Genomic DNA, 27,341 nt, shown 5'->3' on the forward strand with positions numbered 1-27,341 from the left:
ATTTGAATATTTCTACAACTCTAAATTTCCAGTCAGCCAGGCATGGTGGCTCACACCTGTAATCCCAACACTTTGGGAAGCTGAGGGAGGGGATCACTGGAGCCCAAGAGTTTGAGATCAGCCCAGGCAACATGGTGAGACCACATCTCTACAAAAAAAATTGAAAATTAGCCAGGCGTGGTGGTACATGCCTGTGGTCCCAGGTACTCGGAAGGCTGAGGCAAGAGGATCACTTGAATCCACGAGGTAGAGGCTGCAGTGAGCTGCTGCGTTCACACAACTGCATTCCAGCCTGGGCAACAGATCAAGAGCCTCACGTTCGTTCATTCAATAATAAATAAATAAATAGCATATTTCTAGTCATCTTCCCCTCTTCCCTACCTCCAACTGCATTCCACTTCCATATTCTAATCCTACTGCTATCAAACTAATTCAAGCCCTTCTTAATATCTCCAGTAGCCACCTAACTGGTCTTTTTGTTTTCTAACTGGTCTTTTCACATACAATCTTACTCTACCACCACATTACCCGCAATCTACCCAGTAAGGTATAGCTATTGCCAGCTATCTAATATACGGTCCTTGGCTCAATTCTCTACTCAGAAAAGTTCAACAGCTATACACTAATGATTTCTGCTAACATACTTTAATCATATGTTAACATACTTTAATTCTCACATCCTCACCATAACCCTTGCCAGGAAAGTATGATTATCAATTTTATGAGAAAATGGAAACTCAGAAAGGAAATAATTCTCCATAATCATACAGTGGGTAAACAGAAGAGCCAAGACTAAAACCCAGCTTCTGTTTGCTTACCAAGCACAACACTACATCATATCAAATACAAACTACTTAGCTTAGCTTTCAAGGCCATCCATTTTCAACCCAACCCCAACTGACTCTCCTACCTTGTATTATACCTTATTCATGAACTCTCTGCGTTCCAAACTATAGATTGTGATTAATTATTTTGTCGGTCATGAAATCAGTTTAATGAGTGACAATCAGCTTTTTTTTCTTCCCCCTTGGCCAGCTTTTTTTCTTTTTAGTCAAACAAAATAGATAACATCCAACTGCACCTGCCACTGTTAAGGACAGTTACTGTATTATGAAACTTCTTGTTTTACCCACACACAAACATTCATACATGCATATATTAGATAGAAGTGTGACATGTATTTCTTACTATAGGTCATAGTTTAAAAATTAAAACCTAACTCACCATTCCCCACATCTCCTGGGCTTCTCACCTCCAAGCCTTTGCTTACGCTAATCTCTCAGGCAGGAATGCTCTCTTTCAGTAATCTTTGCCAATCAAAATCCTATCAATCCAAAACTTAAAAAAAAAAATCTTATCAATCCCTTCAAAGACTAGCTAAAATTCCACTTTTATGCCTTTAAAGTTCTGTCTCAGGTTTTCTCCTAATCAAATGCATTTTCTGCCTTTTAAATTCAGTAATATTTGGTATATTTGTGACTCACAGATATATTTGTGATTATAGTACAGGTATTTGTGCACAAGTCCAGCTGCCCTACCACAATATAAATCCCAAAGGTTTTATTCCTGACAGCAAAGCATTATATGCTTTTGCATATAACAAATGTGCATTATCTGTTAAATAAAGCTCATCCCATCATTTTCTGAAACCTTGTTATAAATCAACATAATTTAATAACTTCTACTATATTCCAAACTTCTGTTGACTCTTATCCTTCAAATAGCCTTACCATCTTCCTCCTCAAAACAGCCGTCTCAAATAATCCTCTTTACCCTCCATCTTCTCATGCTTTCCTCCAAAGATAGCCTGTCATATTTCAGTAATCTTTTCCCTCCTTCAGAATCATGCTTTCTATCAGATACCACCTTTCCTTCCCCATCTGCTTATCTTCTACCTTATTCCTAGTTCTCTAACACCGATACACATTGATCTATATTCTTTAAACAGATTTTTCTTTTCTTCATCATCTCTTTAACCAGATTTATTGAATTATTTCAATTCATTGCTAGTGCATATAGTTTGGCAGCCCTGTTAAGTCCTTTGTAGAAAAAGGCAGGTTATGAATAAATGAAAAAGAAACATAAAACATATAGACAATTCAGATCTCCTAAATTATCTCAAATATCTCATTCATTCATTCATTCATTCATTCAACAAGCTCGTGTCTACTGGACACATGCCCTCAGTTCTGTCTATTCTATTCCGTAATTCAGAAAGCAGCTTTGAGAAAAGCATGCAGGAAAATGCCAGGATAACAGGGCCAAGTTGACTCATGCTCTTCTCTCATGAAGGCCAAGTAATTTGTGGGGTACAGGCTCATAAAAGAACAACTAAAAGTTACACTATACGAAGACGGAAAACAGACCCCATAGTTGTTTCAGGGGGCTCAACATCTACCAACAAATGTGAATCTGAAAGGAACAAACCAGTAGGAGTAGCTAAAATGAAACAGGCAGAAAGCATTCAGACAAAAATAGATCCAGACTCTAGGTTCACTTTAGGGCTGCAAGAGGAATTTGGAGTCATTTAGTTCCTCTCTGAGATCCCTAAGGAATCTTTTCAAATATAAGTATGGTTCACTTAAATCATTTCACCAAACCTTAGCCAATGTTCATTTCTCCATTCCCTGAACTCCTACAGCACTTACTGTCTGTAAAACTCATTTGTGAACTTAAACTATCTTGCTCAAGGTAATAAAATTATTAACAAACATACTCAGAATTTATTTCATCTGAGAAAAATGAGTTTTTAAAAAATTTATTTACACATTCAAATCAGTATGGTCCTCTTTAAAATAAGTTACTTTGGAAGGCTACCACTTACTCATTTATTCACTCCATCCATCCAACCATCTGATGCACTCAACCAACATTTATGTAGTGCCTAACTAACTACATGTGAAGCTATCACCCCTGTTCAAAATATTTCCAACTTCCTCCTTGGGAGTGTTTTCAAAATCAGCTAATAAGTCAACCAAGAAAATTATTCCCGTTTCTGTGATTAACTGGATTTAAGGCAAAACTATTTTTCATTCACTCTATTTGATATTGACTAACCTTCAGCATTTCTAAAAATCAAAATTTCAAAGTAAAAAGATCTGTCATCAATAAGACCATTCAGAATAAGATTATACCATGTATTATTTAAAAGTGTGCCTCTTGGCCGGGTGTGATGACTCATGCCTGAAATCACAGCACTTTGGGAGGCCAAGGTGAGTGGATCACTTGAGGCCAGGAGTTCGACACCAGCCTGGCCAACACGGCGAAACCCCATCTCTACTAAAAAATACAAAAAATTGCCAGAAGTGGTGGTGCACGCCTGTAGTCCCAGCCACTCTGAGACTGAGGCAGGAGAATCGCTTGAACCTGGGAGGCAGAGGTTGCAGTGAGCCAAGATGGCGCCACTGCACTCCAGCCTGGGTGACAGAGAGAGGCTCCATCTCAAAAAACAAACAAACAAACAAAAGTGTGCCTCTTGGGCTCGGCGCAGTGGCTCACACCTGTAATCCCAGCACTTTGAGAGGCTAAGGCAGGCAGATCACCTGAGGCCAGGAGTTCGAGACCAGCCTGGCCAACATGGTGAAACCGTGTCTCTACTTAAAATACAAAAATTAGCTGGGTGTGCTGGTGTGTGCCTCTAGTCCCAGCTACTTGGTAGGCTGAGGCACGAGAATCAGTTGAACTCAGGAGGCGGAGGTTGCAGTGAGCCAAGATCACACCACCGGACTCCAGCCTGAGTGACAGAGTGAGATCCTGCCTCAAAAAAAAAAAAAAAAAAAAAAAAAGCCATAGAAGCCTAGAAAGAACATTCTAGGGTCATTTTAATACATTTCCAGATTTCCCACACTAAAACTCTCCAGAAGACAAAGAATACTGCAACCTCAAAAAAAAAAAAAAAAAAAAAAAGTGTGCCTCTTGAAGGGATTATGAACTCCTAGCAAACAGGGACCATGTTTCGCTCACCTTTATAGACCCCTTCCCCCAACAGCACACACTAGATACTCAATAAATAGGTAAATTCTATAGAATTGTACTCAGAAGTTAATTCAGAAAAGGTGTTCTAAAAACATTCTGAACACTGCTACTGAAAATGACCACCGAAATATAAAAGTTCTTATCTGGAGATATAATTTTGATATTTGTTTTTAAAAATCAACTTTCTGAAATCTTATACCATTACTGAATTATTTCACAACTGTCTTTCTCTCTCAAAAGAATGTAAATACTACTTTGGGATGCCAAGGTGGGAGGATCACCTGAGGTCAGGAGTTCAAGACCAGCCTGGCCAGAATGGTGAAACCCCACCTCTACTAAAAATACAAAAATTAGCTGAGCATGGTGGCACGCTCCTGTAATCCCAGCTACTTGGGAGGCTGAGGCAGGAGAATTGTTTGAACCCAGGAGGCGGAGTTTGAACCCAGCAGTGAGCTGAGATCGCACCACTGCTCCCCAGCCTGGGCAACAGAGCAAGACCCCGTCTCAAAAAAAAAAAAATTGTAAATACTACAAATTCCTTGAGAGAAGAAGCTTATCTGTTATTTTTACTATCCTAAAAAAGAATTAAATCAGACAGTCCTAAAACAGTCATTTATGCCTGAGGTAAAAAAAAAAAATCTAAATTAAACCAGCACCCTGCTACAGACCAGATTTTACTCCAGATTAAACTAGCTTCAAATTTAGAAGAGACCCCTTGGTCCCACCTCTTCCAAGTTGTTACAGAACCACTGCAATTCCATTCTAATCCAGTCTGTCTTCTTCCCTTAAATCTAAAGGTCCTCTCCAGATATCCCTTTTGTCCTTCACGCTGTCAAACACACACACACACAGTTTTGCCTACAATACCCCCAAAGTACTCAGCAATTTCATACAATCCCACTATTATCACTAACAGTGAACACTACTTTCTATCAGTCATTCAACAGGTATTTATTAAGCACTTAAGAATCAACCTGCTGTTAGTTTCCCTAGAGACTACAGGAAGTCTCTGCTCTAGAACAGGTTACAATGTACCATTTGCAAAACAAAGAGAATAATTGTCACAAATACAAAATTTAGCAATACATAAACTACATGTGAATACTGTTACTACTGAAAGTAAGGAAGACTCTCAAGAGTTGCCATTACTTAGACTCCCAAAAAGAAGTGGAGTAATTATCTTTCTAATCTCCCAACATCCACCATAGTGATTTGCACCTCATACACAAATTTCAAAAACATTAATATTTTATGACTCTAACCTAACAGAGGAGATTGGGCCCAGTATAGTTTTTTCCTACCACATTCCCAACATATTAGTGACTTAAACATGCTAATTTCCTTAAAAATGACAAAAATTTTAGTCTCATCACCATAAGGTAAACCTCCTTCACATTAACTATATCCAAATCCCCCTCAAAATTCTTTACCTTTTCTTCAGCCTCCTCAAAATGTATCACCACCTCCATCAAACCCTGTTCCTCATCCTCATCCTCCTCTTACCACATTTCCCATCTCTCCCTACTACATCCCCCCAAAAAACACATGTATATGCCAATCCATTACCTCCTAAAAATAAAAACATAAGAATTGTGGCCGGGCACGGTGGCTCACGCCTGTAATCCTAGCACTTTGGGAGGCTGAGGCAAGCAGACCACTTGAGCCCAAGAGTGCAAGACCAGCCTGGGCAACATGACGAAACCCCGTCTCTATAAAAAATACAAAAAAAGTTAGCTGGGAGTGGTGGCTCATGCCTGTATTCCCGGCTACTTGTGGGGCTGAGGTGAGAGGATTGCTTGAGCCCAGGAGGTGGAGGCTGCAGTGAGCTGGGAACATGCGCACTGCACTTCAGCCTGGGTGACAAAGTGAGACCCTGTTTCAAAAAAAAAAAAAAAAGGGGGGGGGGGGGGCAGGGCGAAGTGGCTCACGCCTGTAATCCCAGCATTTTGGGAAGCCGAAGCGGACAGATCATGAGGTCAGGAGATCGAGACCATCTACAGTGAAACCCTGTCTCTACTAAAAACACAAAAAAATTAGCCAGGTGTGGTAGCGGGCACCTGTAATCTCAGCTACTCAGGAGGCTGAGGCAGGAGAATTGCTTGAACCCAGGAGGCAGAGGTTGCAGTGAGCCGAGATCGTGCCACTGCACTTCAGCCTGAGCGACAAAGCTAGACTCCGTCCCAAAAAAAAAAAAAAAAAAGAATTGCCACAGAACCCTAGAAAAAACATTCAAGGGTCATTTTAATGCATTTCCAGATTTCCCACACTAAAACTCTCCAGAAGACTGTCAAAGAATACTGCAATCAGGCCGGGCGCGGAGACTCATGACTGTAATCCCAGCATTTTGGGAGACGGAGGCGGGTAGATCACGAGGTCAGGAGATCGAGATCATCCTGGCTAACACGGTGAAACCCCGTCTCTACTAAAAATACAGAAAATTAGCCGGGCGTGGTGGTGGGAGCCTGTAGTCCCAGCTACTCGGGAGGCTGAGGCAGGAGAATGGCGTGAACCTGGGAGGCAGAGCTTGCAGTGAGCCGAGATCACACCACTGCACTCTAGCCTGGGTGACAGAGCGAGACTCCGTCTCAAAAAAAAAAAAAAAAAAATACTGCAATCTGGTAACTAATTCCAAGATGAACAACTATCATTGTCAAGCAACTCCTCTTCATCTCTAACAAGCAAATCTTACACTGCAAAGATGGTTCCTACAACATGGTCTTTCTGATAGGTCCATCCAAACTTCTCTTTATCATCTCATCCAGCATTTTTAGTCTAATTGTCAATGTTCTTTCTACTTCAGGAAAGCCATACCTAGGCTAAATCCCTAAAATACAATGGGGAAATCAAGAGATACAGCCTAAGATTGTTGGATTCTAAAATCAAGGTTTAAGCATATTATTTAAAAATATAAACACACTGAATAAAATAACTAAAATAAATATCAAAGGTCAGAAAGGAGGAGAAAGGGGATAATGTCAATGACACATTCATAAACATCTTCTGACTCCGATAATGTCATTTTGATAAATCAAGAAATAATATTATATGCCCATTACTTGGAGACATGGAAAAAAGCATGGTAAGAAATACAAAATTAATGCTTAAAAGTAGCAGCCTCAGTAAAGTGGAACTGCAATAGGCAGGTGAGACAGGGGCTGCTGTTTTTCATTGTAAGTTCCCTCAGAACAATTTTATAATAAAAGAGTAGAGGCCGAGCACAGTGGCTCACGCCTGTAATCCCAGCACTTTGGAGGCCAAGGCGGGTGGATCACTTGAGGTCAGGAGTTCGAGACCAGCCTCACCAACACGGAGAAACTCCATCTCTACTAAAAATACAAAATTAGCCAGGGGTGGCGGCAGGCACCTTTAGTCCCAGCTACTTGGGAGGTTGAGGCAGGAGAATTGCTTGAACCCGGGAGGTGGAGGTTGCAGTGGGCCGAGATCACGCCATTGCACTCCAGTCTGGGCAACAAGAGTGAAACTCCGTCTCAAAAAAATAAATAAATAAAAATTTTTTTAAAAAGGGTAGAAAGACAATAATGACATATTTAAGTGCATTCTGCTTACAAAAATTAAAAGAACAGATAATATACAGTGCTGGTGAGGGAAAAGGGAAGGAAGACTAGCCTTCTCATGCCATGATGACAATAAAATTGAGTACAGCATACTATGTTTAAAAAAGACCTGGCCAGGCATGGTGGTTCACACCTGTAATCCCAGCACTTTGAGAGGCCAAGGCGGGCGGATCACTTGAGGCCAGGAGTTCGACACCAGCCTGGCATGGTGGGGTTTCACATAGTGATGGGGTTTCACCATGTTGGCGAGGCTGATCTTAAACTCCTGACCTCAGGTGATCCGCTCGCCTCGGCCTCCCAAAGTGCTGGGATTACAGGTGTGAGCCACCGCGCCCAGCTGTATATAGTTTTTTCTTAATAAAAGGTGAATAATATCCGGGTAGTTTTTAAGAGTATGGTTCTAGCCCAGAGTTCCCTCTTGGAAATCTGGTCTGGTGTGAGCTCAGCAAATCCAGAGAGAGCTTGGTTCATTTCCTGACATAGAGATGCTAATCCTCCCTCCAACCTGGCTCTAGAGTCGTCCAGTCTCCTAGGTTCCCCTAGACCTTCTGATAACTAGTCCTGACCTCCTTGCAACCTAAAACCAAAACAGATATTCTAGCTCCTCCATTCTGCAGGCCCACACTTTGCTGGCTGATACGTTTTCTTCAATGCCATCATGCCTGAATGAGAGTATTCTCTCACTGGAGAACTCCCTCACAGTTCACTTCAGGAACTGTGAATGGCAGAAGATCTCCCACCAGCCACAGATTTATGGAACCAATCCAGCCAACTAATTTGAGCTACAAATGAAGTATCTAAAGAAGAGCCAGCAAGCATGTCTTCCCCCCGACCATTAATTATAATCTTGTGTACTGCAATCCAGGCTGAATAATACGGCACCAATTCTCCTGGACCAGATAAACTGGGCAGTGAAGAAAACCACCAAGTCAATTAATTTCCATTCCAGCGTTTGCCAGGATAGTATTTACCCAACCTCGGGTAAGTGTTAATACTTCAAATTTTCTAAAATCGAAGCTCCATAGCCTAAGGAATCCCCACAGGCCAGACCCTTTCTCAAGGTCTGCTTCAGAGGTTCTCATACTCATTGGTGCACGTCTAAAATGTCACAGACCAAACTACAGACTAAAATCTAATTCTCAGTGACCCCAACCACGGCCCAGACCCACACTTACCAGATGTCATCTACTGAACAGCCCACACAGGTTCGGAACTAGGCCATCCCGGCCCATCTGGAATAACTCTTCAGTACTTAGGCCAATATTTATTAATTATACTACATCTGTCTATTCTATTATGCATTCCCTGCATCTTCTCTACTATTTAGCACTCCCTCTTGCTTCAAACGCGATCCTTTCTATTCACGGGAACTCCTATCTCCCTTCTTTCCTTCCCTGAGAAACGCTTCAGTTCTTTCCATAATGAAATACCTAACGTATCTGCACAATGAACACCCCCCAGAATCCTCAAGACTCCTCCACAGCCACCTCCCCGCATTCCTCCACCTCTCCGGCATCTTTCCTCCGGCCCCTCGCCCTGTTCGCACTCCCACTACGTTTCCTGCAAGCATTCCCTTTTCTCCAACCCCTGCCCTTCCCTTCTCCCAAAGAGCACACTCCGGCAGCAACAGTGACTGAGGCCTGCGGTGCATAAAGCACTGCACCAGGCACGGTGGACAGAGCCCTGGTGTCTCCCTAGCCTTTTCACACCCACACCCAGCACCCTCCGGCCTCCCCGTGCAAACATCCCACCTCCTCCCCTACCTCTGACACCCGCCTCCAGCCTCGGAGGCCGCCTTCTCGCCTCCGCCACCCCCGTCATTATCCCTCCTCAACCCCCCAACCCACCCTCCGCGCCCTGCTTCCTCACGTCCCCCAGCCAGCCCCAGCGTTTCCCTCGGCCTCGGCTGGCCCCCTGGCCACCCCCAGCCTCGCCACGGCTCGCTCCCCCCGGGGTCAGGCCGTTACCGCCGCGCGCTCCCCCCGCGCGCCGCCCCCTCCCCCTCCCCCGCCCTCCCCCGGGCCCGGGCCTGCCAGGCCGAGCGCTTTACCGCGGGCGGGCGCCGAGTCGCGCGGTCACCGACTGCAGGCGGCGGCAGCTCCAACCTTTCTAGGGGCCTTGAGAGGAGGGGAAGGGGGGAGGGGGGAGAACTTTTGCTGTGGCAGCTTCGGCAACAGCTCCCACCCCTGCGCCTTTCTCCTCTTCCTCCCCCTCCTCCTCCTCCTCCTCTTCCTCCTTCTCTTCCTCCTCCCAGAGCAGTAGAGACGCAGACATGCCGCAGCTAGAGCGCCGCCGCGGTCGCCGCCACTGCCGGCCCGGTGCATTGTGGGAAGCCCCGCACACGGGAAGCGCTCCGCGGCGCCCGCCCTCGTCTGGCGCAGAGACCTGGCTGGAAAGACACAGCGTGGCTTCGATTCCGGCGCCTGCGTGTCACCAGCCCAGGGTGGCCGTGGAAGCTGGACCCGAGCCGCAGGCCCCCCAGGCTGGGCCTGGGAGGAAAGCGGTTTGAAAAAGATCGGAACTGAGGAACTCTCTTAGAGCGGGGGACTCCCTGCTCCTACAGCCTTAACCAATGCCCAGCGCTTGGAAAGTGGAGGACTCGGGGATTCGGGAGCGTTTCAGGCCTGGGGAAATGGAAGGGTCGGGGACCTAGGTGAAAGGTTATTTGCCAGAAATGTCTTGGCTTTTTCATTTATTCTGTCTTACCTAGCCCTTCGCCGCCACCTCCAGTCGTTGGCCTCTTACCACCTTCAAATGCCACCTTTTCCGGAAGATGTAGCCCTGCGCCCTTGAAACTGGCAAACCCTATTAGTGTCTGCAAGCTGAGATGCAGGGTGTGGGCATAGACACAGATCAAGAGATCCGGCCCTGGACCCTCTTGGGCAGAACCTTGCCCTTCTCATTTCACCTGAAGCCCAAACTTTGTATGGCAAAGACTTGGTAATGATCTCTATAGAGCTAGGATTACACAGTTGTCTCATCCTTTGGGGGCCCTTTAGCCAAACTGTGACCTCCTTAATGGTGCCTTCGTCAGCTAACATTAGGCGCCCTGAGGTGCTTCTGCATACTGCCATCGTTTACAATTACTCATCTTTGTGTACACACCCTAGCACAAGGTCAGCCATATAACATAAAAGATGCTCAGTGAATGTTGAGTAATTGTGAGCATCTGGAACTTGCCGTGGGATAAAACGCGTTCATTGGGATTTCTTCATAATAATATGAAGATTCCATTTAGCGCCTCTCTGCAATACTTAAACGTAACCTTTGAGGGGAGAGGGAAAAGAAAAGGCATGAAAATATCTATAGAGCCATTTCTGGTGTTCTCCTTCCCTTTTCCACACCCGCCTTCCCACCCCTTGCCAACTAAATGTTCATTTGAATAGTGCTTTTTGGCAAAATTCCAAACTCCTGCATTATGCACTTGTGATGACACTGAATTAGATTAGTGTCTGCAAGGTTAATGTTCCCTCAGGCATTAACCTTAGTAAATCGTGATGCCTGTTTAGAAATAGCTAAGGCCCAGAGGTTCAGCTTAATTTAGACACAGGTAACTAAGAGCAAGAGTAAACCACAGCTCCACAATCAACTCTCTCTGTGTGCTTTCTCCATTAAAAAATATAAATTTTAATAAGATGACCGCACATATTCTGAATGTTAATTGCAACAAAACAATGACACAAGTTAGAGCCAAGGGACAGTTATCTGGAGGACAGCCTTCTGGCAACTTCTAGCACCCGCAGTGGCATCAAATTCAGACGTCATAATGAAAAACACCTCTGGCAGCAAGAAAGCCGACTCTCAGTATTAGGCAGTGGGAAAACTAATAACTGAAAAGGGCTCAAGGCCTGGAGGTTACATCCAATGGGCTAGGATTGATTGGTTTGCTATTAGGAATAGATCTAGTTCTCTGCTCAGCAGCCTAACAAGCGATAGAGAAACAGCTGTCTAAAATGGGCAGAACGAAGAGCACTACAGGGATAGTAACAGCAAAAGCGATGGTGAGGAGCAAGCTTAGGTCCTTTATAAGTTAAACTGGAAAAACTTCTCAGCTTCAGGTTGGCTCTCCATGCTCCTCTTGCTCACTTCCCTAAACACCACCCGTAGGTACTCAGCCTACTTACTTTTCCTTTTTTTTTTTTTTAACTTTTTATTTTGAAATAATTATAGACTCACAAGAAGTTGCAAAAATAGTCCAGAGTCCCATGCTTTCCCCAATGGTGACATCTTACAAAGCTCTAGTAAGACATCAAAATCAGTGTCAACCTAAATAACAGAGAGGCTTTCTAAAAGAAAATAATGTTTATTTGGGAATAGAGCATTGCAATGAAAATATACACATCACAGTTAACCGCATATTCAGGGATGTAAAGGAAGACAAAGGTGTTTAAAGGAAAAAATGGAAAGGATTACATAATTGTTTTGAAATAATTATCCTTGACTACAAAGATCAATAACAAGGGTGACGCCAGTCCGAGGTTGGACAGGCATTTGCTGGGGAGATGTCCTTGCAGAAGTATTTTTTTATGTAAGGTTGTGATGGCCTTTGTGCAAGGTTGTGGGTTTTGCAGTCTTTTTTTGATAGTTTTTGTTATCAGGTATACAAATGTAAGAACCCTCTCTTCGTAGGCAGCCTTCCCTAGCTCTGTTTGTCAGGGTTTCTTAACATTAGTAACTCCATTTTGATTGTGACAACTTTCACACCAGGAAATCGACAACAGTACATTACTGTTTACTATAGACTTCAGAACTTATTACTTGCCATTTTCTTAACCTGTGTTCTGTTTTGTGTGTGTGTGTGTGTGTGTGTGTGTGTGTGTGTGGTTCAATGCAACTTTACCTCACTTACAGATCCTTGTAACCACTCCTATAATGAAGACATAGAACTGTTCCATCACCACAAAAGAACTCCCTCATACTACCTTTTGGTATTCACAAATCCCCTTCCGCACTGCAACCGCTCACCCAACTCCATGCCTGTCCTCTAGTAACCACTAAACTATTCTCCATCTCTATACTTTCATCATTTCAAAAATGTTATCTAAGTGGAATCATACAGCATGTAAACTTTTGAGATTGATGTTTTAACCTAAACATAAAGGTCCACAGCTCAAGCAAATCTAAAGGGCACAGACACTTCCAGCTGATGGTTTCCAAGGGGGAATGTAATATTTAGGAAATCAAGAGAAGTCAGGAATCTGAGTTTTGGGGTGAAACCTCACAAATATTAAATGTTGACAACTCATTCTGTTTTTTTTTAAGAACACAAAAGCATGTCAGACAAAACATGCCTGTGGGCCAGATTAAGTCCATAGCCCCCGGTATATCTTCTCTGATGTGACCTAACCCATAGAGGCTGGCACCGCTGTTCTGACAGGTGAGATTCTCAGGGACTCCCAAGGCCTCTTTCCTCTCTTCTGGCTCTGGAATTAGTTCTGAGGCTTGGTCTTTGCACTCCTTCCAGGAGAAGAATGTACTTCCATCTCTTTCCTGCTTCACCAGGTCTTCAGACCCTCCTCTAGTAATCTCTTTCCTTCCTTTTTTCTAGTATTCTCAGACTCAAGACTAGATGGAAGTTCTGTCTTCTCTATCCTTATGGCTCCCTGCAGCACTAGCCATTCGTCAAAGCTGGTTCTACCTTAAGGATAAACTTGTCCTTTTCTTTGCAAAACTCTAAATTCATAGCTTTGCTACAGATTAATCCACAAGAACCTGCCTCTACTGCGTCACTCCTACTGTACCCAGAAAAATATGGCTTTTCCTGTTCCTAAAGGAGTTCTTTTCCTGGGACATCCTGGGACCCCCTGAATTCCTGCTTCAGATATGCTTCAGGCCTGGGGAAATGGAAGGGTTGGGGACCTAGGTGAAAGGTTATTTGCCAGAAATTTCTTAGCTTTTTTGTTTATTCTCTCTTACCTAGCCCTCCGCTGGAGGGCAAAGGGCATCCCAGATAGCTGATATATTCTAAAACTAATGAATAGTCTACTGTCTCCTGCTGAGGATATAGAGTGGAGGTAATTTCTTGAGTTTGAGACAAAAAACCCTGCACCTCTTAGAAACATCTAAAGAAGGTACTAGGTTGCACTAAAGTTCATCAGTTGTGAGATAACTATGGTTTAGAGGGGCACAAGGGAAGACACCACTGAAAGGCCAAGATACATAAGAATGAATGAAAATGAGGTCTTGGGCCAGGATGATATTTGTGGGTAAGGAAAAAATAAATAATATGAGGATAATATCTACTAGTGCCTAGAGGTTAGTCTGGTGATTAAGTCCACAGATTCTGCAGCTGAAGCCAGGGTTTGAATCCTGACTCTACCACTTACTGGCTTTGCAATCTTAAGTTACTTAACCTCTCTGTGCTGTCAAGTGCCCCATCTAGCAAATGGAGCTAAGAATAGTACCTTCTTTTTAGGGATATTATGGCTATTAAATATTAACATAGAGTAGTTTAGTGTTTGTTTATTTATTTATTTATTTTAGAGACAAGGTCTCTGTTGCCCAGGCTGGAAGGCAGTGGTACAATCATAGTTCACTGCAGCCTCAAACTCCCAGGCTCAAGTGATCCTCCCACCTCAGCCTCCTGAGTACCTGGGACTACAAGTGTGCACCACCATGCCTGGCTGATTTTTGTATTTTTGTAGCAATAGGATCTGGCAGTATTGCCCAGGCTGATCTCAAAGTCCTGGCCTCAAAGCGAGCCTCCCAGCTCGGCCTCCCTAAATACTGGGATTACAGGCATGAACCACCACACCTGGCAATGTAAAGCAGTTAGAACAATAACTGACACATAGTTAAATGTTCTATGTGGTGTTGATATTGTAGTTGCTATTATTACTATTTAAAATAACCTAAAGGTAACACTGAACCAAATTTCCTAAAAATAAAATTCAATAGAGAAAAGACATCAGTTTCTACAAGTGGATTGGGGTGAGGAAAAGAAGAGAAACTATACAAGGACAAAAAAAAAAAAAAAAGAACATGTTGAGAGAGGTGATTTAGGTGGGAAAATACCTTTCAGAATGTTTTCCATGGGGAATAAAAAGGGTATGCAATAGGTAGATGGCACTAGGAAAAAAAATTAACCTGCAAAAAAAAACTGCCATTTTTCAGATATTTTATTTCTGAGCATAATCTTTGCCTCAACAATTTTATAAGGCTGATGACATTGGTCTATTTTAAGGATGCTTGCTACTTTCTATCCGGCCAACACCAGTGAATCAAGTGCCTATCTCTTCTTTCCCAAAGTTTAACCAGAATGAAGACAAGTTAACTATTCATGTATTAAAGTTGTGGGTTTTCATAAGAGAGAAATAATAACAATTTTTACCATCCCAGAGTGTTCAGAGATCTCACAATTTGCTTATTGCCAAGATGGTGCAATATAATGCAGAAATGATTTTTTTATTTCTTGTTTTTACTCTCAATATGATTTGAATTAAAAAGCATGTGAGAATTCTGGGCTCATCAAAGTATATCAAAACTACCCTGTTATATGTAGTAATTCAACACAGAGAAAAAGCGTCCATTTTCCCTCCATTACTATCTTTCTAACTTGCCAATATTCGGCTTAAATATTTATTTAAAACCCACATGCCAAGAGCTACAAATGGCACCACAAAAGGGATAAAACAGATACAGGATTGCACTAAAGCCTATCAGCTGTGCAGTAACTGTGGTTTGGAGGGACACAGGGGAAGATATGGGGAAAAGGTCAAAACAGGCAAAGACACAAGAATTAAGCATTGGGGTTAACTCTGTTTTACCTTTTCTTTCCTACTTGATTTTTCACGAAGGCAACCATTTTACACTTCCTGAAGAAAAGTATGTAGCTGTGTAAGAACACAGTGTTAAGGTTCAAAGAAGACTAAGACACGTTCTAAGTTCATGAGAAGCTGTAAACTAATGGAGGAGGCCGGGCGCAGTGGCTCATGCCTGTGATCACAGCACCTTGGGAGGTGGGAGGATCGCTTGAGCCCAAGAGTTTGAGGCCAGCCTGAGCAACATAGTGAGACGCCATCTCTACAAAAAATCAAAAAATTAGCTGGGCATGGTGGCACATGGCTGTAGTCCCAGCTATTTGGGAGGCTGAGGTGGGAGGATCACTTGGGCCTGGGAAGTCAAGGCTGCAATGAGCTATGATCACACCATTGCACTCCAGCCTGGGCATACAGAGTAAGACCCTGTGTCAAGAAAAATTTTAAAAATGAAATTAGCCGGGTGTGGTGATGCATGCCTGTGGTCCCAGCTACTTGGTGGGCTGAGGTAGGAGGGTTGCTTGAGTCTGGGCAGTTGAGGCTGCAGTGAGCTATGATCACCATTGCACTCCAGCCTAGGTGACAGAGCAAGACTCTATCTCAAAAAATAAATAAATAAGTAAATAGATAATGTAGCTAGGGTGAGAATGAGCCCTCACTTCTTTCAATTGCTCAATCGTGGTTTTTGAATACCTAGTATGTGTCAGGCAATGAGCTGAGTGTCAGGGATATTCAGTCCATTGAGAAATCCGTACATCTGTTCTTTTATTCATCAAACAAATTGTTATTGAATGTCTGGGACTATACTAAATACCAGAAATACTGTGGTAAATAAAATACTCTTCTAGGCCAGAAGCTTACAACCATCAGTTGGTGGAGTAAAACAGGTGAATAAACTGCTTCACTGCAGGGTGATACATTCTAATATAGAGATGAGCACCGGACGCTGGAGGAGGACACTGGAAGAGGACCTGTGCAGCCCCGGGCCAGGACAGCTTCCCCAACATGACATTTTAGCTGAGACATGAAAGGGGGTGGTACTGGTGGAGTCCTGAGCAGAGGAAGGAGATGGCATATGCAGAGTCCTAGTGCCAAAAGGAGCTCAGTGTGTTCAGGCACCTGCGAGTCATTCCGAATGAATGCATGCAGGAAGTGGTAAAAAAGAAAAAAAAAATGATACTGCAGTGGAAAGCACCAGCAAGCTCCAGAGTGCCTTGTGGACTTAGTTGAGGTATCTGACCTTCCTTTATCCCAAGAACAGTCTTTCCCAAAGTGTGGCTGGATGATAAGAAGATCTTAGATGGTACACAGAATACTATTTTTTTTAATTTTTGTAGTTAATGGGGTGAACACGCATAGAAAATATATAGATAGATAGATATAGATCTATTTCATACATGCAACACATTGCTTATCTTATATTTTTGCTTAGGATGAGGTTGACTGACAAAAGTAATTCAACTGACAGAATACTACCTAGATTATAGTTGGTACATGAACAACCATGAATGACTGACGTTTGGGCAAAAATGCCTGAGGCTGACAGATTGCCATGGAAAGCTTTTATGTAGGGAAGTCACATAAGAATACTTCTAGGTTAGAAAGAGCACTCTGGTTGTGGAGAATAGATAAGGACAGTATTTGCCAAACTTCTGGTTAAGTCACATGAGTGGATTCTGAAATCAAATTTAAAGTTGTGCTGGGTGCAGTTGTGCAACCTGCAATCCCAGCTACTGGGAAAGCTGAGGTGGGAAGATTACTTGAGCCCAGGAGTTCAAGAGCAGCCTGGGCAACACAGTGAGACCCCATCTCAAAAAAAATTTTTTTTTTAATTTTCTTTAAGTTGTAACTGGCAGAGTTTTTTTTCAGTAAAACATAATAGGATACAATAAATATTATCAGACGGCTTCACATACAATCAGATGGCATCACATGTAACAATACTTTTAATTTTACATATGCATCTATAAGCATGTATGCATGTGTGTAAGTGTTACTAGGTTACAGCACAAAATATTTTTCTTACTGTGGGTCAAAGTCAAAGAAAGTTTAAAAGTCACTGGAAACAGACCAATTAGGAGTCTGTTGCAGTATTTTGTTCATTCAATTAGTGTTTATTGAGTACATATTATGTAACAGGTGCTATTCTACGCACTGAGAATATGGCTGGTGAACAAAATTGATAATGTGCCTGATCTCACAACATTTACACTCTGGTGAGGAGAGGATACAATGAGCAAGTAACCAAATAAGTTCCTAAGACAACTTAAGTGAAGTTCTTTAAAAAGCAATAAATCTGAGGGAGAAATGTAGGCTCCACATAGGCTGGTCTCTTCTTTTTTCTTTTCTTTTTTATTTTTGTTCATTGCTGTGTTCCAAGCATAGAGAATAGGAATAGTGCTTAGAACATAATAGCTGCTCAGTAAGTATTCGTTGAATGACTGACTGAATGAATCATTCAATGAAGGCTGCTGTTGGCTTGACTTAGGTAGTTAAAATAGAAATTAAGAGAACTAGATGGATTCAAGATATATTTAAGAGGTAAAATAAATGGGGTTTAGTGAGAAAAGTAGGATTTGGGGGCTAAGAGATAAAAATAAGAGGAATAGTTTCTCTACAACCTACTCTAAAGATAGTAACCAGAGTGATCATGTGATTTCTCCATTGCAAACCCTCCACAGCTTCCTATTGTACTCGGAGTAAAGCCCAGGCTTCTTACAATGGCCAGGAATGCTGTCCATGACCTGGGCTTGGGTGCCTCACTAACCTCATCACTAAAAATCTCCCTCTGTCTCGCTCTGTTCCAGCCACACTGGCCACCTTGCTGTTCCCCAAACCCCCAGTTAAGGCACTGGTCAAGGCATTTGCACTCACTGTCCCCTCTTGAAATGCTCTTCTCCCAAATATTCACATAGCATAGACCTCTCTTTCTTCAAGTGTCTCCTTCTTGGAGAGGTCTATTCTCACCACCTAATGTTACAACTCATGTACTGTGACATACATTCTTCTGCCTGCTCAGTTTTTCCCCACAGCACTTACTGTGAGACGTGTGTATGGGTGTGTGTGTGTGTGTGTGTGTGCAGCACTCTAACATACTATTATAGTCGATTATCCTCATTGTCTGTCTCCCACAGGAATGTCACTATCCATGAGCCTAAAGCAGTTTGGCACATTGTAGGTGCTCCATCAATATTTGTTGAAAAAACAAAGACAACTCTCAGGTTTCTGGTTTGAGCAACCGGGTGATTGTGGCTTACTGAGGCAAGAAACACAGAAGGATACAGAGTCCGATGGGAAGTGACAAGTTCCTTTTTTGACATGCTGAGTCCGTGTCTTGTGAGAGCAATGTCCAGGTGGGAATTCTCTTTAGGCAGTTGAATATATGGGTCTGGTCCTCCAAAGAGCCACAGATATAAACTTGAGGGATCACTGGCTTATAGATGGCATTTGAATGGATGAGACCAGCAAGAAAATGTATACAGAGATGAAGAGAAGACCTTGGGGAAACAGCAGGAGCTGAAAAACAGCAATAGTAGAAGAGCCCACAAAGGAAAGAGAGCAATTGATGGAGTTAGAATGAAAAGCAGTTGTGCAAATTCATGGGAGAGTAGTTTTAAGAAGGGAGGTATATTTATTATCTATTCCTGTATAAAACTTATTCCAGCCTCATAACTATATATAATTATTATGTGTCAGTTAAAAATACATTTTAAGGCCAGGCATGGTGGCTCATGCCTGTAATCCCAGCACTTTGGGAGGCTGAGGTGAGAGGATCACTTGAAGTCAGGAGTTCGAGACCAGCCGGACCAACATGGCGAAACCCCAACTCTACTAAAAATACAAAAATTAGCCAGGCATGGTGGCGGGCACCTGTAATCCCAGCTACTCAGGAGATTGAGGCAAGAGAATCGCTTGAACCTGGGAGGCGGAGGTTGCAGTGAGCCAAGATCATGCCACTGCACTCCAGCCTGAGTGACAGAGAAAGACTCTATCTCAAAAATAAATAAATTTAAAATAATTACCCCAAAATTTAGTGGCTGAAAGCAAAACACATTTATTATCTCACTGTCTGATAAAACAAACTCTGTCTCTCTACACTGTCACACAGAACACTGCTAACACCAGGTGTACAGGGTTTTTTTCCACACTGAAAATGCTCTGACACCAGTTGGGTGTCCCACAATTCAATTCTGACACAATCTACCTGGAGTTTGGGTCAGATCCCACAAGTTAAGGGCTCAATCCCACAAGACTGCTCCCACCTAAAATGCCAATCTCAAGTCCAGGCCTCTTGTACTTCTGATCCACCCACTATAAGTTGGGGTTTCCCATGACCCTCTCCTCATGTGCAATAATTTTCTAAAATGGGGCACAGAACTCAGAAAAACACTTTATTTACGTTTATGGTTTATCATAAAGGGTACTGTTAAAGCAAACTAAATATGGCCTGAGAAAGATTCCATACTTCTATATTTGAGTCCTTGTGGATGAACTGTAACCTAGCTTAATAGTCAGACAAAATTGAAAACCTAACTTAGGAGTGGCCAGCCGTGGTGGCTCACGCCTGTAATCCCAGAACTTTGGGAGGCTGAGGTGGGCAGATTACTTAAGGTCAGGAGTTTGAGACCAGCCTGGCCAATATGGTGAAACCCCATCTGTACTAAAAATACAAAAATTAGCTGAGCATGGTGGCGTGCGCCTGTAGTCCCAGCTACTCGGGAGGTTGAGGCAGGAGAATTACTTGAACCGGGGAGGCAGAGGTGGCAGTGAGCCGAGATTGCTCCATTGCACTCCAGTCTGGGCATCGTGGCAAGGCTCCATCTCAAAAAAAAAAAAAAAGAAAGAAGAAAACCTAACTTAGGAGTATGTGCCTGTTACAATAACTGAGTCTTGGCCAATCCCAGTGGCCATACTTCATTCATAGCCTAAGTGTTCAAACTGGGTTCCAATAAGGCAAACGCCATCCTGTAATCAATCCAGCTGTTTCTGTACCTCACTGCCGATTTCTGTATGTCATTTCCTTTGTTTTTGTTTGTTTATTTGTTTGTTTTGTCTATAAATCTTCTTCCACCATGTGGCTGCACTGGAGTCTCTGTGAATCTGCTGTGATTCTGGGGGCTGCTCGATTGGTGAATCGTTCATTGCTCAATTGAACTCCTTTAAATTTAATTTGGCTGAAGTTTTTTTTTTTTTTTTTTTTTGTTGTTGTTGTTGTTTTTGAGATGCAGTCTCGCTGTGCGGCCCAGGTTGGAGTGCAGTAACACAATCTTGGCTCACTACATGAAGTTTTTTTTTTGTTGTTTTTTGTTTGTTTGTTTGTTTTTTATCAGAACAGATGAACAGCCAGATGAAGGGATACATGGGGTGTAGTCTGGAAGGATCCCAAGAACAGGAGCTCTGTCCCTGTGGAGTTGGGGTCCACCACCCTCCTGTCATCCCACTATTATTGTTGTGCAAGAGTTTTCAAAGAGCTTAATCTCTAGCCCCTTCCAGGAAGTCTGTTGGTAGGCCTGAAAGTTCTAACCTTGTAATCACTTGGTCTTTCTGGTGACCAGCCCCATCCTGAGGCTATTAGGGGCAAGTTACCTCATTAATATAAACTCAGATGTGACCAAAAAGGGTTCATTATGAATAACAAAAGAAACTCATGAAATACCAAGGGCTTTAGGAGCTCTGTGCCAAGAACCAGAGACCAAGACCAAATACATTTCTTGTTACACCACATGCTATTTCTGTGGATACAGGGTCCTGCGCTACCTAACTGGGTCCTCTGTTTTAGGGTTTCTTACAAGGCTGTAATCAAAGTGTCACTCAAGGCCGTGGTCTCATCTGCAGGCTTCTCTAGATAGTGATCCTCTTTCAAACTATTGGCAAACTGTTTCAATTGTTGACAGGATTCAGTTTTCTAAGGACTGCTGGACTGAGGGCCTCAGATCTTTCTCATGGGGATTTCTCCATAGGGCACCTCACAACATGGGAGCTTGCTTCATTCACCAGAGCAAACCTGAAAGGAGAATCCATGAAAGAGTGTGAGCAAGTCTTCTATAACCTCATCTTGTAAGTGCTATGTCATTCCATCTCACTTTTGTCTTATTCTAGTCATTAGAAGCAAGATACTAGGCTCAGCCCACACAAAAGGAAGGGATTAAAAAAGGGAGTGAATACCAGGAGGTGGGGATCACTGTGAGCTGCTTTCGAAACAGCCTCCTACAGAGGATGTGTCGGTAGTGTTAAAAGTCATAGAGTGGTCAAGCGTCCAGGACATTTGGCAACAAGGAGCAGCGTTTGTTATTTTAGAGAGAGCTGGCTTAGCAGAGGGTGGAGGCAAAGCCAGATGATGAAGGTCTGAAGAGTGAATCAGAATGGAAGAAGTAGAGGTGGAAAGCACAGACAATTCTTTCAAGAGGCTTAGATATAAAGGGAAGGATAGTGATAGAGTGGCTGCAGGAAGGAATGGACTCAAAATCAGATAGCGGTTTATTATTATTATTATTATTATTATTATTATTATTATTTGAAAGAGATTTAAATGCATTTAAAAGTTATCAGGGGCCGGGTGTGGTGGCTCATGCCTCCCAGCAGTTTGGGAGGCCAAGGAGGGAGGATCACCTGAGGCCAGGAGTTTGAGACCTGCCTGGGCAACTTAGCAAGAACCCTGTCACTACAAAAAGTTAAAAAAAAGTAGCCAGGAATAGTGATGCCCACCTGCAGTCCCAGCTACTTGGCAGTCTGGAGTGGGAGGATCACTTGAGCCCGGGAGGTGGAGGATGCAGTAAGCCAAGATTGTGCCACTGCACTCCAGCCCAGGAGACAGAGTGAGACCCTATCTCTAAAGAAAATAATAAAAATAAGAATAAATAAAAGTTATTGGATAGGCATTTATAGAAAAAAGAGATTAAAGAAAGAAACTGGATCCCTTCCTTACACCGTATACAAAAATTAACTCAAGATGGATTAAAGACTTAAATGTAAGACCTAACACCATAAAAACCCTAGAAGAAAACCTAGTCAATACCATTCAGGACATAGGCATGGGCAAAGACTTCATGACTAAAACACCAAAAGCAATAGCAACAAAAGCCAAAATAGACAAATGGGATATAATTAAACTAAAGAGCTTCTGCACAGCAAAGGAAATTATCATCAGAGTGAACAGGCAACCTACAGAATGGGAGAAAATTTTTGTAATCTACCCGTCTGACAAACAGCTAATATCCAGAATCTACAAAGAACTTAAACAGATTTACAAGAAAAAAATAAACAACCCCATCAAAAAGTGGGCAAAGGATATGAACAGACTCTTCTCAAAAGAAGACATTTATGCAGCCAACAGACATATGCAAAAATGCTCATCATCATTGGTCATCAGTGAAATGCAAATCAAAACCACAATGAGATACCATCTCACGCCAGTTAGAATGGCAATCGTTAAAAAGTTAGGAAACAACAGATGCTGGAGAGGATGTGGACAAATAGAAATGCTTTTACACTGTTCGTGGGAGTGTAAATTAGTTCAAACATTGTGGAAGACAGTGTGGCAATTCCTCAAGGATCTAGAACTAGAAACACCATTTGACCCAGCAATCCCATTACTGGGCATATGCCCAAAGGATTATAAATCATTCTACAATAAAGACACATGCCCACGTATGTTTATTGCTGCACTATTCACAATAGCAAAGACTTGGAACCAACCCAAATGTCCATCAATGATAGACTAGTTAAGAAAATGTGGCACCTAAACACCATGGAATACTATGCAGCCATTAAAAAGGATGAGTTAATGTCCTTTGCAGGCACATGGATGAAGCTGAAAACCATCATTCTAAGCAAACTGTCACAAGGACAGAAAACCGAACACCGAATGTTCTCACTCATAGGTGGGAGTTGAACAATGGGAACACATGGACACAGGGTGGGGAACATCACACACCGGGGCCTGTCGGGTATGGGGGGCTGAGGGAGAGATAGCATTAGGAGAAATACCTAATGTAAATTACGAGTTGATGGGTGCAGCAAACCACCATGGCACATGTATACCTATGTAACAAACCTGCACATTGTGCACTTGTACCCTAGAATTTAAAGTATAATAATAATAATAATATTTTTAAAAGGCAGTAGAGTGCGCACTTCAGCAGCACATATACTAAAATTGGAATGATACAGAAAAGATTTGCACACCCCCTACTAGGCCCGGCTGGATGTGGTGGCTCATACTTGTAATCCCAGCACTTTGGAAGGCTGAGGAGGGAGGATCACTTGAGCTCAGGAGTTCGGGACCAGCCTGTCAACATAGTGGGACCCCATTTCCACAAAACAATAAAAAATTAGTGGGGCATGGTGATGTGAGCCTGTAGTTCCAGCTGCTTGAGAGGATGAGGTGGGAGGATGGCTTGATCCCAAGAGGTCAAGGCTGCAGTAAGCTATGATCATGCCACTGCACTGCAGCCTAGGTGACTGGGTGAGACCTTGTCTCAAAAAAAAAAAAAAAAGCTGTATGGGCGGTCACAGGACTGAAAAAGGGGCCCCAAGCACAATAGAAGTATTAGGCAAAGGGGCAGAAGAGAGGACAAGAGTAGATAGAGGTCAATCCATGGAAGCAGTGGCAGGAAGTCAATAGACACTTTTATTTCCTCTGTAAACCACGAGATCACCTGCTGAGAGGAAGCGGGAAGGTGTTGTGGTAGGAAGTCGGAAGAGTTTGGAGAAGGTTTGAAATGGCTGCATTCAAAAGGGAAAATAAAGAGATTAAGAGCAGCTCGAGGACTCTGAGATTAGACCCATAAGGAGCAGCTTGTTACGTCACTTTCTCCAGCAGCATCCAGCAGGTCAGGTAGAATATGGGAAGGCCAACAAATACCCGCAATAAGCTCAAGGTTTCCTAAGGTCAGCACTGCAAAGAATATGGGTCAAGGAAATCAATGGCACTGGCAAAAGGGACAGACCTGTGGTCTAGCCAGAGAGGAGAGAAATCCCATTCAGAGTGCGGGAGCAGATGGGGCTAACGGGAGATAATAAAAGGGCCAAAACCTCAATACAACTGAAAACCAGGCACAGTGAGCAAAATGAAGTAAGAGAGCTGAAAGTTAGATAGTTGGGGTCAGAGATAGAAACGAATCACTTGGATGGGATGATCAGGGATGGAGAAGACCAGTAGTGAGCCCAGGAGAGAGATGATGTGGGCCTAAAAAACTACCCTTTATTAAGCCCCTATTTGTCCAGGCTTAACATGCTAAAAGCTTTACCTGTATAATCTCAGGTAATACAACTCTCAAAGGTAAGGCTTGTATCAGCATTATACAGAAGAGGAAACAGGCCAAGAGAAACTGCATACTTGGCTAAGCGCAGTGGCTCACGTCTGTAATCCCAGCACTTTGGGAGGCCAAGGTAGGCGGATCACTTGAGGTCAGGAGTTAGCCTGGCCAACATGGTGAAATCCCATCTCTACTAAAAATACAAAAATTAGCCAGGCATGGTGGCACATGCCTGTAATCCCAGCTGCCTTTTAAACAGAACCCTTAACTTTCTTTTTTTGAGTTGAAGTTTTGCTCTGTTGGCCAGGCAGGAGTACAGTAACACAATCTTGGCTCACTGCAACCTCCATCTCCCGGGTTCAAGCAATTCTTCTGTCTCAGCCTCCTGAGTAGCTGGGATTACAGGTACCCACCACCAAGCCGGGCTAATTTTTGTAGTTTTAGTAGAGATGGGGTTTCACCATGTTGGTCAGGCTGGTCTTAAACTCCTGACCTCAAGTGATCCACCTGCCTTGGCTTCCCAAAGTGCTGAGATTATGGCACGCCCAGATCTCTTTTTTTTTTCTTCTTCTTTTTTTCTTTTTTTTTTTTTTTTGAGACAGTTTCACTCTTGTTGCCCAGGCTGAAGTGTAATGGCGTGACCTCAGCTCACTGCAACCTCTGTCTCCTGGGTTCAAGCAATTCTCTTGCCTCAACCTACAGAGTAGCTGGGATTACAGGTATCTGCCACTACGCCTGGCTAATTTTTGTATTTTTAGTAGAGATGGGGTTTCACCATGTTGGCCAGGCTAGTCTCGAACTCCTGACCTCAGGTGATTCACCCGCCTTGGCCTCCCAAAGTTCTGGGATTACAGGCGTGAGTCACCGCACCTGGCCCCAGAGCTCTTAACTTTCTAAATAATTCTCCGATCTGTCTTCTGCTTTCATCTTTAACACACCTGCCTTAGTTTAGGCTCTGAGTGGCAGTATCACCTAGCACAGCGCAGTGCTTCTCAAACTTTGGCTGCTTCAGTTATCTGCAAGGCATATTGAAACACAAATTCTAGGCCCCACCCCAATTCGAGAACCCCAGAATATCTGATTCAGTAAGTCTTGGATAGGATCTGATAATGTGAATTTCTGTCAAATTTCCAGGCGTTGCTGATGCTGCTTGTTGCTGGTTGAGACCCAGTGGCCTAGAGGTTGATTTCAAATGTTACCCCTCTTATTTACTATATGACCTTCAGCAACTTATGTAGTTTCTTTTTTATTTATTTTATTTTATTTTTGAGATAGAGTCTTGCTCTGTCACCCAGGCTGGAGTGCAGTGGCACTATCTGGCTCACTGCAACTTCCACCTCCCAGATTCAAGCAATTCTCCCTGCCTCACCCTCCCAAGTAGCTGGGATTACAGGCGCCCACCACCACACCTGGCTATTTTTTTGTATTTTTAGTAGAGACGAGGTTTTGCCATGTTGTCCAGGCTGGTCTTGAACTCCTGACCTCAGGTGATGCGCCCGCCTTGGCCTCCCAAAGTGTTGGGATTACAGGCGTGAGCCACTGTTCCTGGTCCCAATTTATATGTTTTTAATTGCTTATGCTCTAAGTGTCGTATCTAAGAAATTATTGCCTAATCCAAGGTCAAAAAGATCTACACTGATTTTTCTTCTAAAAGTTTTATGATTTTAGCTCTTACATTTAGGAAGTTCATGATTTTGAGTTAATTTTTGTGTATGGTGATAGGTCAGATAATTCTTATGATTCCATGAGATGAATATTGCAGACTACAGGGCACATTGTAAGTGCTCAGGGACTGGTAGTTAGTATTATTATTGTATGATTTGTTTAAGGAAATCACCAATGTACAATAATCATTGAATAAACTTCACAGAAAGATCAATCTTACTTCTTCACGGTCATGTCTTCTTTGGGGGAAAAACCGTAACATGATCACCTAATTTGATTGTCCACCTTGCTCATCTCCTTGGTAACTTCTAGTTGTTTCCAAAAGGATGAAGACTTGCCACAGGTAGAGAATTCAAAGCAGAGGTTGGTCCCAAAGGCAGGCCTGGCACCATCCTGGGGAATGAGGTACCTCTGGCAGAAGCATAAAGCCTCCCAGGGTGACTGCAAAAGAGGAAAAAACATGCATTTTGGCATGGGTATTTTTCATGAAACATTATAGTTTCATCTTTGTGTTTCTATGTCCATGTGCATAAATATTTATTCACATAAGCTTTACACAGAGTTAATTAACTTCTAGGGATTTACCAAGGACCCAAGCGCTACAATTAAGTCATCAACCCAGCTACCCAAATATACCATATTTATTATCTGGATCTTCCGTATTCTCAGTGGTTCCATGCGAGTCTTCTCTTGGGAAGTCCTGCACCCTAAAATCTCAGTGTTTTTAATTGGGTGTGGAGACTGCTTTGCCGCATCGTATATTTGGCAAAGTCTGGAGATATTTTTGGTTGTTACATCTGAAGGGGCATTACTGGCATCTAGTGGGTGGAGGCCAGGGATGCTGCCAAACATCCTGCAATGCACAGAATACCCCCCATACAAACAATTATCCAGCCCAAAATGTCAACAGTGCCAAGGCTGAGAAACCCTGACTAGCTATATGTGAGTTGTCTATGCTTACACTTTGAACTAAGGCAGCAAGCTGTGATGGCTCTGAAATCAGAGAGACTGGGCTCAAATCCCAGCACTGTCACTTACTGCCTCTGTGACCCAGAGCAAGTTACTCCACCTTTCTGGGCCTTAGTTTCATCTGCTAATCACTGTAATATCTA

General features: G+C 43.0%; 1 protein-coding gene, 1 long non-coding RNA gene and 1 pseudogene across 13 annotated transcripts in view, besides 5 other annotated features; 2 read left to right on the forward strand and 1 right to left on the reverse strand.

Moving 5' to 3' along the window:
- ZNF148 (zinc finger protein 148) overlaps positions 1 to 9,853 on the reverse strand; it is a 149,686-nt gene extending 139,833 nt beyond the window's left edge. For 9 of the 12 annotated variants that reach the window (NM_001348426.2, NM_001348431.2, NM_001348428.2 and 6 more), the window contains exon 1: positions 9,601 to 9,853. The gene's annotated coding sequence lies outside the window, so the exon portion shown is untranslated. Of the gene's footprint in view, positions 1 to 8,725; positions 9,209 to 9,600 lie in introns of those variants that run through there. The other 3 variants (NM_001348432.2, NM_001348424.1, NM_021964.3) reach the window with 2 other exon arrangements.
- Positions 2,903 to 3,403: an enhancer, noted in NCBI's record as "H3K4me1 hESC enhancer chr3:125087248-125087748 (GRCh37/hg19 assembly coordinates)". NCBI's record gives its function as "activates a minimal SCP1, AML or CMV promoter by ChIP-STARR-seq in primed H9 embryonic stem cells {active_cell/tissue: H9 hESC(primed)}" and the evidence as "EXISTENCE:reporter gene assay evidence [ECO:0000049][PMID:30033119]".
- Positions 3,404 to 3,904: an enhancer, noted in NCBI's record as "H3K4me1 hESC enhancer chr3:125087749-125088249 (GRCh37/hg19 assembly coordinates)". NCBI's record gives its function as "activates a minimal SCP1, AML or CMV promoter by ChIP-STARR-seq in primed H9 embryonic stem cells {active_cell/tissue: H9 hESC(primed)}" and the evidence as "EXISTENCE:reporter gene assay evidence [ECO:0000049][PMID:30033119]".
- Positions 9,559 to 9,608: a silencer, noted in NCBI's record as "silent region_14666". NCBI's record gives its function as "represses an Ori minimal core promoter by ATAC-STARR-seq in GM12878 lymphoblastoid cells {active_cell/tissue: GM12878}" and the evidence as "EXISTENCE:reporter gene assay evidence [ECO:0000049][PMID:35858748]".
- Positions 9,719 to 9,988: an enhancer, noted in NCBI's record as "active region_20428". NCBI's record gives its function as "activates an Ori minimal core promoter by ATAC-STARR-seq in GM12878 lymphoblastoid cells {active_cell/tissue: GM12878}" and the evidence as "EXISTENCE:reporter gene assay evidence [ECO:0000049][PMID:35858748]".
- On the forward strand, positions 9,925 to 21,358 carry LOC105374080 (uncharacterized). The gene is made up of 3 exons (XR_924427.3): positions 9,925 to 11,551; positions 18,442 to 18,660; positions 21,268 to 21,358. It is a non-coding gene; the product is annotated as an uncharacterized LOC105374080 (long non-coding RNA).
- Positions 10,099 to 10,148: an enhancer, noted in NCBI's record as "active region_20429". NCBI's record gives its function as "activates an Ori minimal core promoter by ATAC-STARR-seq in GM12878 lymphoblastoid cells {active_cell/tissue: GM12878}" and the evidence as "EXISTENCE:reporter gene assay evidence [ECO:0000049][PMID:35858748]".
- On the forward strand, positions 23,433 to 23,496 carry RNU6-232P (RNA, U6 small nuclear 232, pseudogene; annotated as a pseudogene).

This window comes from Homo sapiens, chromosome 3 (assembly GCF_000001405.40).
Source record: "Homo sapiens chromosome 3, GRCh38.p14 Primary Assembly".
NCBI classification, from domain to species: Eukaryota; Metazoa; Chordata; class Mammalia; order Primates; family Hominidae; genus Homo; species Homo sapiens.